The 17,221-nt window shown below is 41.4% G+C and overlaps 1 long non-coding RNA gene across 3 annotated transcripts in view, besides 2 other annotated features; it reads right to left on the bottom strand.

Moving 5' to 3' along the window:
• LOC105371348 (uncharacterized) overlaps positions 1-9,408 on the bottom strand; it is a 154,623-nt gene extending 145,215 nt beyond the window's left edge. For 2 of the 3 annotated variants that reach the window (XR_933748.4, XR_001752255.1), the window contains exons 1-2: positions 9,318-9,408; positions 7,799-8,625 (exon numbers count right to left, since the gene is read on the bottom strand). This is a non-coding gene — a long non-coding RNA (uncharacterized LOC105371348). Of the gene's footprint in view, positions 1-7,594; positions 8,626-9,317 lie in introns of those variants that run through there. The other variant, XR_001752254.2, reaches the window with a different exon arrangement.
• Positions 5,232-5,291: an enhancer, noted in NCBI's record as "active region_11148". NCBI's record gives its function as "activates an Ori minimal core promoter by ATAC-STARR-seq in GM12878 lymphoblastoid cells {active_cell/tissue: GM12878}" and the evidence as "EXISTENCE:reporter gene assay evidence [ECO:0000049][PMID:35858748]".
• Positions 11,145-11,194: an enhancer, noted in NCBI's record as "active region_11147". NCBI's record gives its function as "activates an Ori minimal core promoter by ATAC-STARR-seq in GM12878 lymphoblastoid cells {active_cell/tissue: GM12878}" and the evidence as "EXISTENCE:reporter gene assay evidence [ECO:0000049][PMID:35858748]".

Genomic DNA, 17,221 nt, shown 5'->3' with positions numbered 1-17,221 from the left:
AACAAGCCATGGACATGTAGGAAAATCTGATTTCCAAACTTGCCACATAATACCTATTAAAATGTCCAGGTTTCAATAATGTAAAAAATTATAAGTCATGCAAAGAAATAAAGTACTGCCAACACACATACATAAAAATAAACAATCAATAGAATTTGTCCTAAAGGAAGCCCAGATATTGGACTTACTAGAAAAGACTTTAAATCATTTAGTCTAAATATGCCCAAAGACCAAAAGGAGAGTGTGCCTAAAGAAGTATGAGAACAATGTCTAACCAAACAGAAAACATCAATAAAGAGATGGAAATTATAAAATTCAACTTTAAAATAAAAGTTATAAAATTGAAAAGCTTAATAACAGAAAAGAAAAATTCACTACAGGTTCTCAGTAACAGATATGAAAAGACATAAAAAATCAACAAATTTCAAAATTGGTCAATTGAAATTATCCAGTCTGAGGAACAGAAAAGAAAAAGAACAAAGAAAAATGAACAGAGTTTCAGAGACCTGTGGGAAATTACTGAAAGTACCAATATATATGTAATGGGAGACCCAGAAGGAGAGGAGAGAAATGTCAAGAACCAATATTTGAAGAAATAATGCTTGTAAACTTCCCAAATTTGTTGAAAAATATTGGTTTGCACACATGAACTTCAAGTGTAATAAACTAAAAAGATTCATACCTCAATACAACATAATCAACCTCTTAAAGAATGAAGATGAAAAAACTTGGTATCAGCAAGTAAGACATGATTCATATACAATGGCTTCTCAGTAATATTAATAGCTGTTTCCCATTAGAAATCAAGGAAAAGAGAACATAAGACAATAGGATGACATATTCAAAGCAGTGAAAGTAAAAGACTGTCAATCAAGGAGTCTATATAGAGCAATACTATACTCCAAAATTGAAGGGGAAATTAAGACATCTCCAGATTTTTTTTAAAAAACCAAGAGAATTCATTGCTAGCACAGCTGTCCTGCAAGAAATACTAAAGGAGTTCTTTTAGGCCTAGATGAAAGTTATTTGGCAGTAATTCAAACCCAAATGAAGAAATAAAGAGTACTGGTAAATGTTAACTATATGGTTAAATATAAAAGACAGCATAAATGATTTTTGTTTATAGTTATTTTCTTTTCTTCTATCTGATTTAAAAGACAACTACATAAACCAGTAATTATAAGTCTATGTTGATGGGTACACAAGCAATAAAGATCTAATTTGTAAAAATAACAGCATAAAGAAGGCAGGTAGGCTGGGCATGGTAGCTCATGCCTGTAATCTCAGCACTTTGGGAGACTGAAGCAGGAGGATCACTTGAGCCCAGGAATTCAAGACCAGCCTGGGCAATACAGCAAGACCCCATCTCTTAAAAACATATATAAGAATAAATTGTAAAAAGAAAAGGAAGAAAACAGAGTTACATTGGAGCAAACTTTTGTATACTACTAAAATTAAGTTGGTATTATATTGACTAGATTGTTATAAATTAAAATATTGGGCTGGGCATGGTGGCTCATCCCTGTAATCCCAGCACTTTGGGAGGCCGAGGCAGGAGGGTCACTTGAGGCAAGGAGTTTGAGACCAGCCTGGGCAACACAGGGAGACCTCGTCTCTACAAAAATTTTTGAAAATTAGCTAGCCATGGTGGCGTATGCCTATAGTCCCATCTACTTGCAGCAGAAGTGGGAAGATCACTGAGCCCAGGAGCCTGAGGTTGCAATGAGCCATGATCCTGCCACTGCACTCCAGCCTCATTGACAGAGCAAGACACTGTCTCTTTAAAACTTTAAAATATTAATTATAATACCATGGGCAACCACTAATAAAATAACTAAAATTATATATTTTAAGAGAAATGAAAGGTAATTAAAATGTTACACTATAAAATATCTATTTAACACAAAAGCATTCAAGAATCAAGGAATTGAGGAATACAATGGACATAATACATATAGAAAACAAATAGCACAATAGCAAAAAATAATTCTATCTTATCAGTAATTATATTAAAGTAAGTGGATCAAACTGTCAAACTAGAAGGAAGAGATTTGGAGAATGGATTTTTTTAAACACAGCACAATTATATGCTATTTACAATAGACACTTAAGATTTAAAGACACAAATAAATGGAACATAAAAGGATGGAAAAGATACACCAGCAATAACCAGAAGAGCTGGAGTAGCTATATTAATGCCAGGCAAAATTGACAAAATATTTTAAGATAAAAATTATTATTAGGGCAAAGAAGGATATTTTATAATTATAAAAGTGTCAGTTAATCAAGAAGATATAAAAATAATTAAAGTGTATGTACCTAACAACACAGCCCCAAAATGCATGAAGCAAAAATACACCGAATTAAAGGAAGAGACTATTCAAACTTAATAGTTGGACGCTTCAATAAAAAGGAGAATAGAAAAACAATCTGCCAGGGTCATGATAGTGCCAGCTCTCAAATCTGGGTCTAGGGTAAAAGAGAAATAAAACTAAAACCTGTCCGAAAAAAATTCAATCACAGTGAACCTGACTGGGAAAGGAGTAGAAGAGAGGGAAGAGCCAGTATCCAGGCAGCTGGGGAACCCAAAACAATTCCCCTTAGGGCTACTCCCTCCCTGGTATCTCCTGATGTCTGACCTGACCCTCCCCTCCATTAAGAATAGATGTCACTTTCCTCCGTTCTCCTCCACTCTCCTCCACTCACTGCTACTTCTCCCACTCCACATCAACAAACTGAGTCCCAAAAGCTTCTTAAATATCAGCCCTATGGCGCTCAGAGCTCGGAAATGCTGAAAGTCCTTCAGTACCAGATGCCAACTTAGAGAGGACAAAGGAGTAGGAAAGACTGAGCAGTGACCCCTACATCCATGTGCCACTATCCTATAGCACATTTGAGACTATTCTGAAGAGCAAGTTAAACTCACATAAAATAGAAATTTTTATCCTAAAAAATATTTCATATGAAACATTTATGGAACTGAAAAAGTACTATACTTCAATCTGGAGCAAAATGACTTTGGCTCTCACTCTGAAAATAAATGTTTAAATCATACTTGATGGAACAAAGTCAGCTGAAACTATGCACATTGGATTCACCAGGAGACATGTGTACACAGTGGGCTGCCTCTCCTACATAAAAAGGTCTTCATGGATATACAATGGGTCCTCATGAAACTGATTTTGCCACAGATTTTGGGGAACTGAGAGCTTTTTTCTTCCTCCAGGAGGGCACAACTTCCTTCTATTTTCCAGTTTTTGTGCTCTACCTCTTTAATTTTACTTAAAAAGAATGACCCTGAAAAACACATTAGTAATTACTAGATGCCAGAAAATGATCCTTCTAGCATAAAATTGGAACATGGAACTATTTTATCAGTGTTAACTAGACCTGAATTATCAAATTTCAAACAATATTATAATACCAAAAGCTGATTTTAGATTATATTACAGCTCATTTCATAGAGCACCAAGGAAGTGGAAGAAAATATAAATGTGCTTCTTAACCTGTGTGACAAACCTACCTCAATGATTCAAGTGAAAGTTGTGGATTCACATGTTCGAGGCACATAAAAAAATAATCTTGTATGTTTTAATATCTAACTCAAGGACTATCATCCAGCATCTCTCATGCTGTGCTCATTCACACACTACAGAAAGGTAACTCCTCTTTGGCAGAGCTATGAAGTATATCTAAATTAAACAGGCTAATCAAGTGACTGGATTATGTGTAAACCTCCTCAAATAAAATAGTATAAAAAAATATATCATGGTAGAGTTTATTATTGTCACATTATCATAGTAACCACTAGGAATTTAGTCAGTTAAAAATATGTCAAAACCCAGCCTACAAAATGGGAAAAAATATTTGCAAACTATGCATCCGACAAAGGTCTAATATCCAGCATCTATAAGGAACTTAAACAAATTTACAAGAAAAATACCCCATTAAAAAGTGGGCAATGAACATAAACAGACACTTTTCAAAAGAGGACTTACTGCAGCCAACAAGCATATGAAAAAATGCTCCACATCACTAATCATTAGAGAAATGGCAATCAAAACCACAATGAGATACCATCTCACACCAGTTGAAAGGGCTTTTAATAAAAAGTCAAAAAATAACAGATGCTGGCAAGGTTGCAGAGAAAGGGGAATGCTGATACACTGCTGGTGGGAATGTAAATTAATTCAGCCATTGTGCAAAGCAATGTGGTGATTCCCCAAGGAATTTAAAAGAGAATTACCAATTGACCCAACAACCCCATTATTGAGTACATACCCAAAGAAATAGAAATCATTCTACCATAAAGACACATGCACACGTATGTTTATCGCAACACTATTCGCAATAGCAAAGACATGGAATCAACCTAAATGCCAATCAACAGTACACTGGATAAAGAAAATGTGGTACATATACACCATGGGATACCACACATTCATAAAAAAGAACAAGATCACATCCTTTGCAGCAACAAGGATGGAGCTGGAGGCCATCATCCTAAACAAACTAATACAGGAACAGAAAACCAAATGCCACATGTTCTCACTTACAAGTGAGAATTAACCAAGGAGAACACATGGGCACAAAGTGGGGAACAACAGACACATGGGCCTACTTGAGGGTGGAGGGTGGAAGGAAGGAGAGGATCAAAACACTACCCATCGGATATTATGCTTATTACTTGGGTGATGAAATAATCTGTACCCCAAACCCCCATGACACGCAGTTTACCTATATAACAAGCCTGCACATGTGCCCCGAGCCTAAAATAAAAGTTTTTTTAAGTCAAAACCATCTTCATTCTTTGTCTTCTTTACAAAAATATATCTGAAAAAATACATCCTGTGAAGTAGTGCTCTAAAGTTGTCGGAGATATTGATTTATTACTTCCTTTACTAAAATAATACCTTATATTTACTTAATTAAAATATATAAAACCTCCATAACTGGCATTTACGTTCAGAGAAATCGCTCTAAATAAAACATCTGCCAGGAACTAAAAGCATTTTAAAGTGGCTTGGCACTAACACTGTCATTATCATCACTATTACAAGGGACAGTGTCAGATTACATGTATGGCCACGAGGAGGTGCTAATACCCTGTGGCTTCATCACCAAAAAGAAAGTCATCAGAGCTGCAAAACCTGGGCCTGTTATTGCAGAGTCTGGTAAAAACAAAAACCCCACAGAGAGCAGAGTAACCTGCTGGCCTCTCACAGGGGACCGAGTGAAGGATGCTCTACAATCCAGGGAAAGGGGTGATAAGCCAGGGGAAAGCTGGCCTGCCTACCTGTTCTTCTCACAGAGGTGCCTCTTTAAAAATACATCTGATGAAATACTGTAATTTCTAAATGTTTGGACATTGTTATAATTATCAAATTAATCATTGATACAGTAGTCATTCCAATTTAGCTTCTTGTCCATCACTACAATTCTGAAGAATAAAATGTCTGCCCAGAAATAAGAATGTGGAGTCAGAAGAGGCTTTATTACTAGAAATATGAAATCAAAATGAAATTGCAGAGCTGTTCCAAAACAAAAATGTAAAGGCCCTTTCACTTACTGGCCCTTTCTATTGAAAACAAGAAGGAATTTAAGAGTAGTGTTATTGTTGTTAACGTTTTCACTGTGAGACAATTTGAGGGATTTACTTTGTTATCATACATTTGACATCGTCTCAACTCCTGTTCCAATCACAGAAATGCCTCCAAATAAAATACCTGCCAGTAATTAAAAACACATTATTATATAATTATCATTATTCCTTCAAAGGGGGTGGGAGGAGTTATTAGTGCAGTCCTTGTGATTTTTCTCTAAGTTTGAAACTATTTCAAAATAAACTTCTTTAAATTGCATATCCCTTTCTTGAAATACAGTTAAATGAAAAGCCTACCAATAGTTAAACCTTTAATGTTATGAGGGATAATATTATCATTACTAGTAAATAGGGTTAACCCCAAACAATGGAAACTGGTTTGTTTCTAGGCAGAATGCTGGATCCCAGCAACCAGGGAGGAAACAGGTCATTTGTCTGCAGTCGCCATTCTGTGAAATCCACTCGGTAGCAACAGTCAATGGATCTCCCAGTGGAATTGCTTATCACCTAGCAATGTATTGGTTGTAAATAATCCAGTCACAAATGTATTCTCTTCAATTTACATATACTTGTGGCTCTAACAAAGAGAAGTCATCATTCTCTAGTGTGCAAATGAACACAGCAAGAAGCACGATTGGATGAGTTTGTTTTTCTTTCTAAGCTGGGGCATGTGAATCCACACATTATCACATGAAACAGTGATATGCATTAAACAGAAATTTAAAAACACATTTATATGTTTATTCTTCCCGGGTTCTCCATGAAATAAGCAGTAATTGAATCCTGATATCTGCTTTTCATATATGTTTTTAAAGTGATAATTCAGATTTAATAGCACCAATAACAAAACAGTGCCATGTTCCAGTTTTACGCTAGAGGGATCATCCACCAGCATTTATTAATTACTAATGTCTTTTCTTGACATTCTTCTCTTCAAGTAAAATTACAGAACTACAGAAGAAAACCTGAGAATTGGAGCAAGTGTTCTCTTGGAGAACAAAGCCCTCAGATCCTACAAAATTAGTTTTATGAAGATATACAGTAACTGTCTTGGTCTTTTTTTTCTGTTGTTTATAAGAGAATTCCTGAAACTGGGTAATTTATAAAGAGAAGAAACTTATTTCTTACAGTTGTGGAGCTGAGGAATCCAAGGTCAAGGGGCCACATCTGGTGAGATCCTTCCTGCAGGTGAGGACTGTCTGAAAAGTCCTGAGGCAAGGCAGGGCCTCACCTGGCGAGGCAGTCGTCTGTGCTAGCTCAGGTGTCTCTTGCCCCTTTTTTTATTTTTATTTTTTTATTTTTTTTTTGAGACGGAGTCCCGCTCTGTCTCCCAGGCTGGAGTGCAGTGGCACGATCCCGGCTCTCTGCAAGCTCCGCCTCCCGGGTTCACGCCATTCTCCTGCCTCAGCCTCCTGAGTAGCTGGGACCACAGGCGCCCGCCACCATGCCCGGCTAATTTTTTGTATTTTTAGTTCAGGCAGGGTTTCGCCATGTTAGCCAGGATGGTCTCGATCTCCTGACGTCGTGATCCGCCTGCCTCGGCCTCCCAAAGTGCTGGGATTACAGGCGTGAGCCACCGCGCCCAGCCGTCTCTTGCCCTTCTTATAAGCCACCTGTCCCACTTCCATGATAGCCTATTCATCTGTTAATCCATGAATGGATAATTCATTCAAGAGGGCAGACCCCTCATGATCCAATCACTTCTTAAAGGGCCCACTTCTCAATACTGCCACATTGGGGATTTAGTTTCAACATCAGTTTTGGAAGGGACATCCGAAACACAGCAGTAACCAATGAGAAAATTTGCTGCTAGGAGAGGCAGCCCCCGTGTACTGGGGAGAGTGACTCACTTATTCAACCTGCATGTCAAATGAATGTGATCGCAAACATTCACACACACACACACACACACACACACACACACACACACACACACGTACATACAGTCCCATTGGATCCAATAGTACACTGTCATCTTACCGTTTCATCATGAATGGTTTAAACATTTATTTTCAGGGTAAAAGTTAAAATTGTCCTAAATCATCTACTTTTTTAGTACAGTGAACGTTTCATGCAAATTGTTTTTATGACGGAAATTTCTGTTTCACATCAGTTTCATTTCCTGTTTGGTATGTTCTCAAATGTGCCATAGCACATGAATGTGGGGTCACTGCTCAGCCTTTCCTACCTACTCACCCTCGCCAAGGTGGCATCTGGTAGTGAGGGAGGCTCAGCACTTTCCAGTCTCAAACCCTGGGACTCAAGCAGTTTCTGGGAATGATACGATGTATTCCTTTCTTAAGGCGGCTGCAACAAAGCACCCTAAACTGGGTGGCTTAAAACAACAGGAATTTATTCTCTCAGAGTGGTAGGGGCTGGAAGTCTGAATCAAGATGCCAGCAGGGCCAGGCTCCCTCCTCGCTTGCTGTCACCAGCAGCCCTTGGTGTTCTTGGCTTGCAGCTGCATAACTCCTGTCTTTAACTCCATCATCACGCGGTATTTCCCCCTCCTGTGTCTCCGCCACGTCATTTCCCTGCTTCTTGTAAGAACGCCAGTTACATCGGATGAGGACCCATCTTAATGACCTAACAATGTTGTCACAAATTTTAAAAGTTGAAAACTCCCAGGCAGTGACTAATGGGCAAACAGCCAAAGCTGAAGAATTTAGAGAGGAGAAAACAGTAGGAGGAATAATATATGATAGAGTGTTAACTGGATTGCTTCTGGCCAAAAGTAGAGATAAAGGGTCAGGCATGGTGATTTGCACCTCTAGTCCAAGCACTTTAGGAGGCTGAGGTGAGAGGATTGCTTGAGCCCAAGAATTCGAGACCAGCCTGGGCAACATGGCTAAACCCTGTCTCTACCAAAAATACAAAACATTAGCCCGATGCGGTGGCACATTCCTGTAGTTCCAGCTTCTCGGGAGGCTGAGGTGGGAGAATTGCTTGAGCCTGGGAAATTGAGGCTGCAGAGAGCTGTGATCGTGCCACAGCACTGCATTCTGGGTGATGGGAATGAGATCCTGCCAAAAAAAAAAAGATAAGGCATTATTTTCTGAGATCAGCAAAGATAGTTTCTTCTACATTTATGCCCGTCCTAGGAAGGACATAGGATGAGTACAGAGTTCACAGGATTTCACAGATAATAAGGAAAAAGATACGACCTTGGAGTGGCAGTAACAAACAATGAGTTTTATTCGGACAGTGCTTTAGCAGGATCACAGGTGAGGAGAAGTCCCTCACAGCATGAGACCTTCCAGAGTTGAGGGCACAGAGCCAGAAAAGAAAGAGGACAAGAGTACTCTGGCAGAGAGCAGGCAGACAGGAAGGGAGGAAAGAGGGAGGGAGGGAGGGTAGGAACGAAAGAAGGAAGGAAAGAAGGAAGGAAGGAACGAAGGAGGGAAGGAAGGAAGGGAGGGAGGGAGGGAGGAGGTAGGGGAGAGAGGGAATGAAAGGAAAAATGGAAGGAAAGGAAGAGAGGAAGGAGGGAGGGAGGGAAGAAAAGAAGGAAGGAAGGAGGGAGGGAGGGATGGAAGGAGGAAGGGAAAAGAAAGGAAGAATGGAAGGAAAGAGGGAAAGAAAGAAGGGAGGGAAGGGAAAGGAAGGGAAGGGAAGGGAAGGCAAGGGAGGGGAAGGGAAGGCAATGCAACAGCTCCAGTGGAAAATTCAAGTCCTCCTTCAACTGCATCCAAAAATAATAATTTTTACTAGATACCTGATGTAGAGAAGGCATACCCTGCCCAGATACAGGAGAATCTCCCAAAAGTGGATGACAAGATCAGCCATGACTGTGAAGAGATGGACACCTACAAAATACAAACCAAAATGCTTTCAGAAAAATTTGAAAGAATCACAGGTTATTATCAAAGCAGCTTATTTCCCATGACAGAAAATCCCATGACAATGAGTTGAGAGCTCTGTTGGCTAAGACACATCTTTGTATCTTAAGAAAAGGAAATGCGGGCCAGACACTGTGGCTCACGCCTGTAATCCCAGCACTTTGGGAGGCCGAGGTGGGTGGATCGCAAGGTCAGGAGTTCAAGACCAGCCTGGCCAGCATGGTGAAACCCCTTCTCTACTAAAAATACAAAAATAAAAATAAAAAACTAGCCAGGCATGGTGGCACATGCCTGTAGTTCCAGCTTCTTGGGAGGCTGAGGCAGGAGAATTGTTTGAACCTGGCAGGCAGAGGTTGTAGTGAGCCGAGATTGTGCCACTGCACTCCAGCCTGGGTGACAGAGCGAGACTCCACCTCAAAAAAAAAAAAAAAAAAAAAAAAAAGAAAAGAAAAGAAAAGGAAATGCAACTTGTTGACTAGGTAGTGTGAAGATAAAATAAAAAAGAAAACGCATATCTGACACCAAAAAAAAATGAAGAAAATGTAAGGTTTTCAAAAATATACTTATGTCCCTGGTGTTGCAAATGGGGTATTTGGCAGAAGGACCACCAGGGCATCCTCCGGATGTCCACATCCCCAAAGAAAGAGGAGCACCTTCTACCATAAAAAAGAATAAGATCCCATCATTTGCAACAATATGGATGGAACCAGAGGTCGTCATGGTAAGTGAAATAAGCCAGGCACAGAAAGACAAACATTGCATGTTCTCACTTAATGTGGAATCTAAAAATCAAAATAATTGAACTCATGGACACAGAAAGTAGAAAGATGGTTACCAGAAGCTGCGAAGCTAGTGGGGAGTTGAGGGGAGGTGGCGAAGGTTAATGGTTACAAAAAAAATAGAATTAATAAGGCTTACTTTTGATTGGGTGACTATACTAAATAACAACTTAATTGTACATTTTAAAGTAAAGAGTGCAATTATATTGTTTATAACTCAAAAGATAAATGCTTGAGGGGATGGATACCCCATTCTCCATGATGTGCTTATTTCACATTGCATGTTTTTATCAAAACATCTCATGTATCCCATAAATTTATACAACTATTATGTACTCACAAAAAAATTTATAAAATAAATTAAAAATTAAAAAGTATTTTAAAGAGGAACACCAAGCTGTGACTCATGGGAGACCCAGCATTCCTCCCAAGGTCAGGATCCCAGGAGAAAGAGGCCTCCCTCAGGTCAACTCCACCCTGACTCAACAGATCCTTCACAAGGTCCACAAAGAGCATGACCTGATGCTCCTGGTGCTGGCTGCCACAGCTCAGGACCTTCCTTCTATTCAACATGACCACTAGACCACAGTTCCACTGGTCCAGGCCCTGGTCCTCCACCTCCTCCCCTTGTCAGACCTCAGATGTTTAGAGAGTCTTAAAGGGACAGGTCCTAAGAAAAGAAACCTCTGCTCTTCCCCTGTTCCAGAAATCCAGGACACAATTGCCTAGGAATCCTTTTCACCAGGGAGCTTCCCTGGCTGGACACATCCTCCCCATTCTCCTCTGGCCACAAGAAATGTTGGACACCAAGCACTGTCCACTCAGCCTGAAAACGAAAGTGAGTCACCCCTGGATAGATCCCACCTCCCACTGAGCATGCTACTACACAACCACAACCACAAGAGCCCTTTTCCTCTGCTCTACAATAATTTTCATATTTTCTATTTTAGTTTTATTGCCAGTGAGTGATTATATCATGTATAAGATGAAAAAAGACAGGATTCTGCTTCATAATGTGCTCTGCCTGTAGATTATTTCAATAACAACACTAATAAATTAATTACTTCCATTTTATTCTATTTGTAAGTAGCATAATTACAGTTTTATGTTGTTTTTAGCAAAGCCTCTAAAATAATTCAGGAAAACAGCAACTATTTTATTCCAACTTACTTTTTAAATAATTTTATTTGTTTCTCTATTGGTTTTATTGCCATAATTTAATGTATTAATAATTACACATCTCGAAAGAAGACCTGATAGGATTACAATGTTTAGGATTGCAGTTTTAAAATGTGCATGATGTAAATGCAAATTATATTTAACCCTGAGAGCACAAGCTTCCTTCTCACCCCAAACTCCCTTGGGGTGTCCACCGGGAAGCCACCTTAACCTTGACTCTGAAGGGTGTCTCAAGTGGGTTTACAGGTCAAAGCCAACACTCTTCAGTGAGGACCAGCCCCAGACAAAATTATGTGAACACTTTTCGAGGATCCCTGATTCTCTTCCCTGTTCTGTGTCCTCTCTGCCCCATCACAAGCCTGGACTGAGAGTTGGAAGGACCACAAAGGCTAAGTAATCAACCCTTTCCCTATCTCCTCCCTGAACTGTCTCACCTTTACGACTGTGAGGCCAATGTCAGCATTTAAAAACCATAAATAAGACCATGGGCCATGCTGCTCAAAGCCCTCCAGTGCCTACAACTTACACTGAGACTCAAATCTATGCTCTCCTGGCCCATGAGGTTGTCCATGCCCTGGTCCTTGCAGGTGTATACCTACCCAAGCACCTCCTGTGACTCCACTGACCACGATTTTGTCCAGTTAGCATGGCAGGCTCACTAAGTCTCAGAATTTTGCACTGGGCATTTCCTCTGCCGAGAATACCTTTACACCACATATGTGGTGGCTGCCTCCTTCATTTAGATACCAACTCTAATCACGTCTTCTTAAAGTGCCCTTTCCTGACCACTGTAGCTTAGTGATGGTGCTTCCTCATCCCTCTCTGATATGGTTAGGCTCTGTGATCCCACCCAAATCTCATCTTGAATCCCCCTTGTAATCCCCATAACCCCATGTGTTAAGAGAGAGACCAGGTGGAGGTCATTGATTCATGGGTGCAGTTTCCCCCATACTGTTCTCATGATAGTAAGTGAGTTCTCACGAGATCCGATGGTTTTATAAGTGGTAGTTCTTCCTGTATTCACTATCCCTCCTGCCACCTTGTGAAGAAGGTGCCTTGCTTCCCGTTCACCTTCCACCATGATTGTAAGCTTCCTGAGGCCTCCCCAGCCATGCAGAACTCAGAGTCAATTAAACCTCTTTCTTTTATAAATTACTCAGTCTTGAGCAGTTCTTTATAGCAGTATGAGAACGAACTAACACATTTTCTATTCCTTTGGTCCGATTTATTACCTCATAGCACTCATCCTTTCTGAATCATCATATTTCTGTGTTTATTCCTTGTGTATTTTCTGCATCATCCTCTGCACCATATGGGCTGGTGTGGCAGAGAGATTATCTTACTCCCTCTGGGTAGCACAAGACAGCCACTCATTAATGCAGTTTATATAGAAGGCAGGGGAAGCTCAAGTTTGTGGGAAAAGAGGAAAGAGGTGTTAAGGAAAAAGACATGGTAGGATAGCCACTGGCCTCCTGCACCACAGTGTTGAGCAGGGAAGACCTTTGGTGCTTTTGTGTTAATGGAAAAGCTACTGGTCCTCAGAGGCTGAGATTATTTCACTGACTTGGATTGTCCTTAACAATACAAAGGACCTGCAAGTGCTTAACAATCAGCTCTTCCCTGGGTGTCATCGATAATATTCCTTAGGCCCACAACTCACAAAACACAGGATTCCTCTCCCCATCCCATTTATAAAACTGGACTCGGGGTTGGAAAAGACCTCAGACACCAAGCTGCCAGCCTTCCTGTGTTGCCCCCTCTGATATGGTTTGGCTCTGTGTCCCCACCCAGATCTCATCTCAAATTGTAATCCCCATGTGTTGAGGGAGGTAAGTGATTGGATTATAGGGGCAGTTTTCCCCATGCTGTTCTTGTGATAGTGAATAGATTCTCACTAGATCCAATGGTTTTATAAATGGTAGTTTTTCCTACACTCATACATACTCTCTCTCACCTGCTACCATGTAAGAAGTGCCTGCTTCCCCTTCCACCATGATTGTAAGTTTCCTGAGAACTTCCCAGACCCAGACATGCAGAACTGTAAGTCAATTAAACCTCTTTCCTTTATGAATTACCCAGTCTCAGGTATGTCTTTATAGCAGCATAAGAACAGACTAATATACCCTTCTTCCTTCTGGATGACACCACCCAGTCAATCCACTAACAGATGGGTCTGATGACCATGGACTGACTAGAACTCTGGCTTCCTTCAGGGCAGGGCCAAGATAGTTGGCCCAGAGGCACAGACCAGAGTGTAGGCCCAATTTCCCATGACTGACCCTATGAAACTGAGTTATGTTACCACTGCTGCATAGCAGGGCTGCCGTGAGACTTAAACACAGTATTGGGTTTTCCAGGTGCCTTCAATTCAGATTCTGCAGCTGGAAGTGAGCCAGACTTTCAAGAATCTGAGAGTTTCCAGGCAGAGACTCTCGCTCCTTCCTGTTCCCTCTCCTCATCAAGTGACACACTTGTCCCACTAGTATCAGTCAGGGTTTATTTTTCCCCATCCCGAACTATCTCCCCACCCCATCTCACCTACATAACCATGCATCCAGCATAATTTTTCAATAAAATACATGAGATCATGAGACCACGGTTCTCAAAGCCCTCCCGTGTCTCCAACTTGACTGAAACTCAAATCTGTGCTCCTAACTCTCCTCAACGATACCTTACATGCCCTAGTTCTTGAGTGTGTCTGCCCAAACCCATCCTATCTGACCACTGACCTTACCTCTGTTTCCCTAACATACCAAACTCCCTTTCATCTAAGGACCCTGCACTATTTCCTCTGCCAAGAACACCTTTCCCAGATAGGCGAGTGGCTGCCTCTTTCATTTAGACACGAGCTCTGCTCCTATTTTCTGAAGTGCCCTTTCCTGGCCACCACAGACTAGTGATGTGCTTACTGTATCCCTCTTTACCTTCACCCTATTTATGGCCTCGTAGTGCTCATCCTCTCTAAAATCATTTTGTTTCCATGGTTTTCCCTCATGTATTGTCTGCATTGCCCGCTCAACTGTAAAGGTTGTTAAGGCAGAAGGTTTATCTCAGTCACCACTGAGTCCTCTCTCCTGCCTTGCACATGGGAGGCACTCATTAAGGCTTTGGGAAAGTGAGCAAGAAATGGACAAGTGAATCCAGTGAGAAGACCTCTGAGATCTCAGACCTGCCCACACATCAGAGTAAGGCTGTTCAGGGCCTCCCAGGGCAGGACCCATAGACCTGGGGGTACCTCCTTGGCACCTACCTAGGCTCCCAACTGCCTGAACATTCCTTGAGACACTCTGGCTTTTTCCTAGAGTCTGTACCACCCTCATATGTGGGTTTCTCACTGGCTCCTTTGTGTCCAGCCCCTGCCAGTGAGTCTCAAGATTCTATGTCAGTGGGGATCATGGGGATGAATGGTAAGGCCAGTTGCAGGTAAAAGAGGAAGAAGATGCTTAAAAAAAGATAGATGGTTGGGTAGCAAATCGCTTGCTGAACCACAGTTGAGCAGCAAAGAGCTTAAGGGTTTTTGTGTTTAAGAAAAGGCCTCTGAACCCCAGGGATCGAGGCCATTTGACTGGTTTGGGTAATTCCTAGTGACGAGGCCGCCATGCAGAGGCATTTATCAGCTCTTGCCTGATTGTGTTTGCAAATATTTGTGAGGCACCCAATGCCTGAAGCACAGAGTGTCATATAAACTTACGCAATGTTTTGTTTATCCCAGTTAACTTCCCATATGGTTAATCTCTACTACAGGAATTACATTCAAACATGAGGAAGCTGGCTTTCAAACAAGCTCTGAATCACACAACTTGGAGAAGTGGTTGACAGCTCAGGTGCGGAGCCAGATGCCTGGGAACTAGTCTCATTCTGCACCTTACCTGCTGTGTACCTTGGACCTGTTACCTAATTAACATTTGGGTTCCTTGACTTTCTCATCTCTAAAATAAATGAAAGTCGTACAGGCTAAATGAAATGAATTCATTTTAAACTCTTAGCACATGTTAAACCCTGTGTGATTTGCTGTTTTTAGCATCATATTCTTTTTTATTGATTGATTGATATGGAGTTTCGCTCTTGTTGCCCAGGTGAGAGTGCAATGCCGCAATCTCGGCTCACTGCAACCTTTGGCTCACTGCAACCTCCGCCTCCTGGGTTCAAGTGATTCTCCTGCCTCAGCCTCCCAAGTAGCTGGAATTACAGGCATGCACCACCACAGCTGGCTAATTTTGTATTTTTTAGTGGAGACGGGGTTTCTCCAGGTTGGTCAGGCTGGTCTTGAACTCCCGACCTCAGGTGATCCTTCCACCTCGGCCTCCCAAAGTGCTGGGATTACAGGCATGAGCCACCACGCCCAGCCAGCATCATATTCTAAGGTGATGATAAACTTGGCATTGAATCCAGGACCTCTGCTCCCACATCTTTTTCACTTTCCATGATCTGAAAATTTGCTGTTCTTTAAGCTGTGTTCACCTGGTACACTGTTTGGAAACATGGAGATTATGAGGGACTTTCATGGTGAGAAATTGTAAATATCATTCGCTTGAAGAAGGGTCCCTAGTGATTGTGAGTATGCATCTGCTTTGACCAGTTGTGTGCAGGTTGGAAGCATAGACCATGCCTTTCAAGGGGCAGATCCAAGCCCCAGTGGGCACAGGGGAAGGGAAGGGCTCAGCGGGAAGTCTTGAACGCCAGATGGCAAAAACACCCCCAGGGCTCTGGAAAATTAAGGGTAAAGGGGCATTTCAGGCTCACTGTGAGTGATAAAGAAATGCAGGCAAAGTCACTAATTCGTGCAACCCCAATTAGAACGCCAAGGGCATACTTTCTGGGTATTGGCAAAACGTGGAGCTCACTGTCAGAATAAATGGGAGGGTATAATTAAGGGAATGTTGGAAATAAAGAAAAATTCAGGGCTTCTCTGGAATAACAGCTGAAACCCAGTGAGTGCTCAAATCCAGTAACTCATGTCACCACCGTCTGAGTATCATATAATGCCATCATTTGACTCTGAGCCTCTTTTAGTGTTCAGAATGCAGTGATTTTTTCTGCCTCACAACTGGCCATGGGAATGCTGCAGAACTTTACAGAGACAACTCACTGCTCGGTGTGGGAACTTGATAGGATTATAATTTTCAGATGATGCTCTGTAACTGTAGATTTTTTCGATGTGACTTATTTGTGCTTCCATATTATTACATTCGTAGAGAGTAGCAGAGTGACAGTATTTTGTGGTTGCTAAGAAGTCCATGAAAAGAGTCCAGAAACAGAATTTTATTTTGTCTTTCTTCTAAAATGATTTAGACTTTCTTCCCTCTTCTGCTATGTATCATGGCTAGTATTTCAGTAGGGACAGGATTTTGGTTGACTCCCTTTAACAAGGCCCTATAACAAGAACCTTAGAAAGAATTTTACATGAGTAGTTTCACAACTAGAAAGATTTGGAATGCATGGCTCTGTTCATTCATTGCGATTCACCTTAGGATTGAGGTGAAATTAGCACCTAGATTACAGTGGGATTGGAAGTCAAGAAAGGAAGCTTGTTCAGTGAAAACTACATACTATTGTAGCCATTCCTGGTGCATTTGGCTCCAATTCGAGGCTACGAAGCTGCAGCCTAGAGGTCACTTTGAACTTGCGCATAGCAGTGCTGAATCTGCAACTGCCCCAGTGTGTCCCGCATGCATACACACGGTGCTCCTATGGACCTTACTCAGCAGTGGCTCTTGATCAGCACATTATGGATCCATGCCCCACACACCATGAACACACCCCACAGTGCCATGTTTCCCATCCGGTTGGGCCTGAGGAGGGCTGCAGCCCCTGTTGTAGTT

The sequence above is a fragment of the Homo sapiens genome, chromosome 16 (assembly GCF_000001405.40).
Source record: "Homo sapiens chromosome 16, GRCh38.p14 Primary Assembly".
In the NCBI taxonomy this organism is placed as follows: Eukaryota; Metazoa; Chordata; class Mammalia; order Primates; family Hominidae; genus Homo; species Homo sapiens.
The sequence above is the reverse complement of the archived record's forward strand: the minus strand, read 5'-3'. Positions and strand labels throughout refer to the sequence as shown.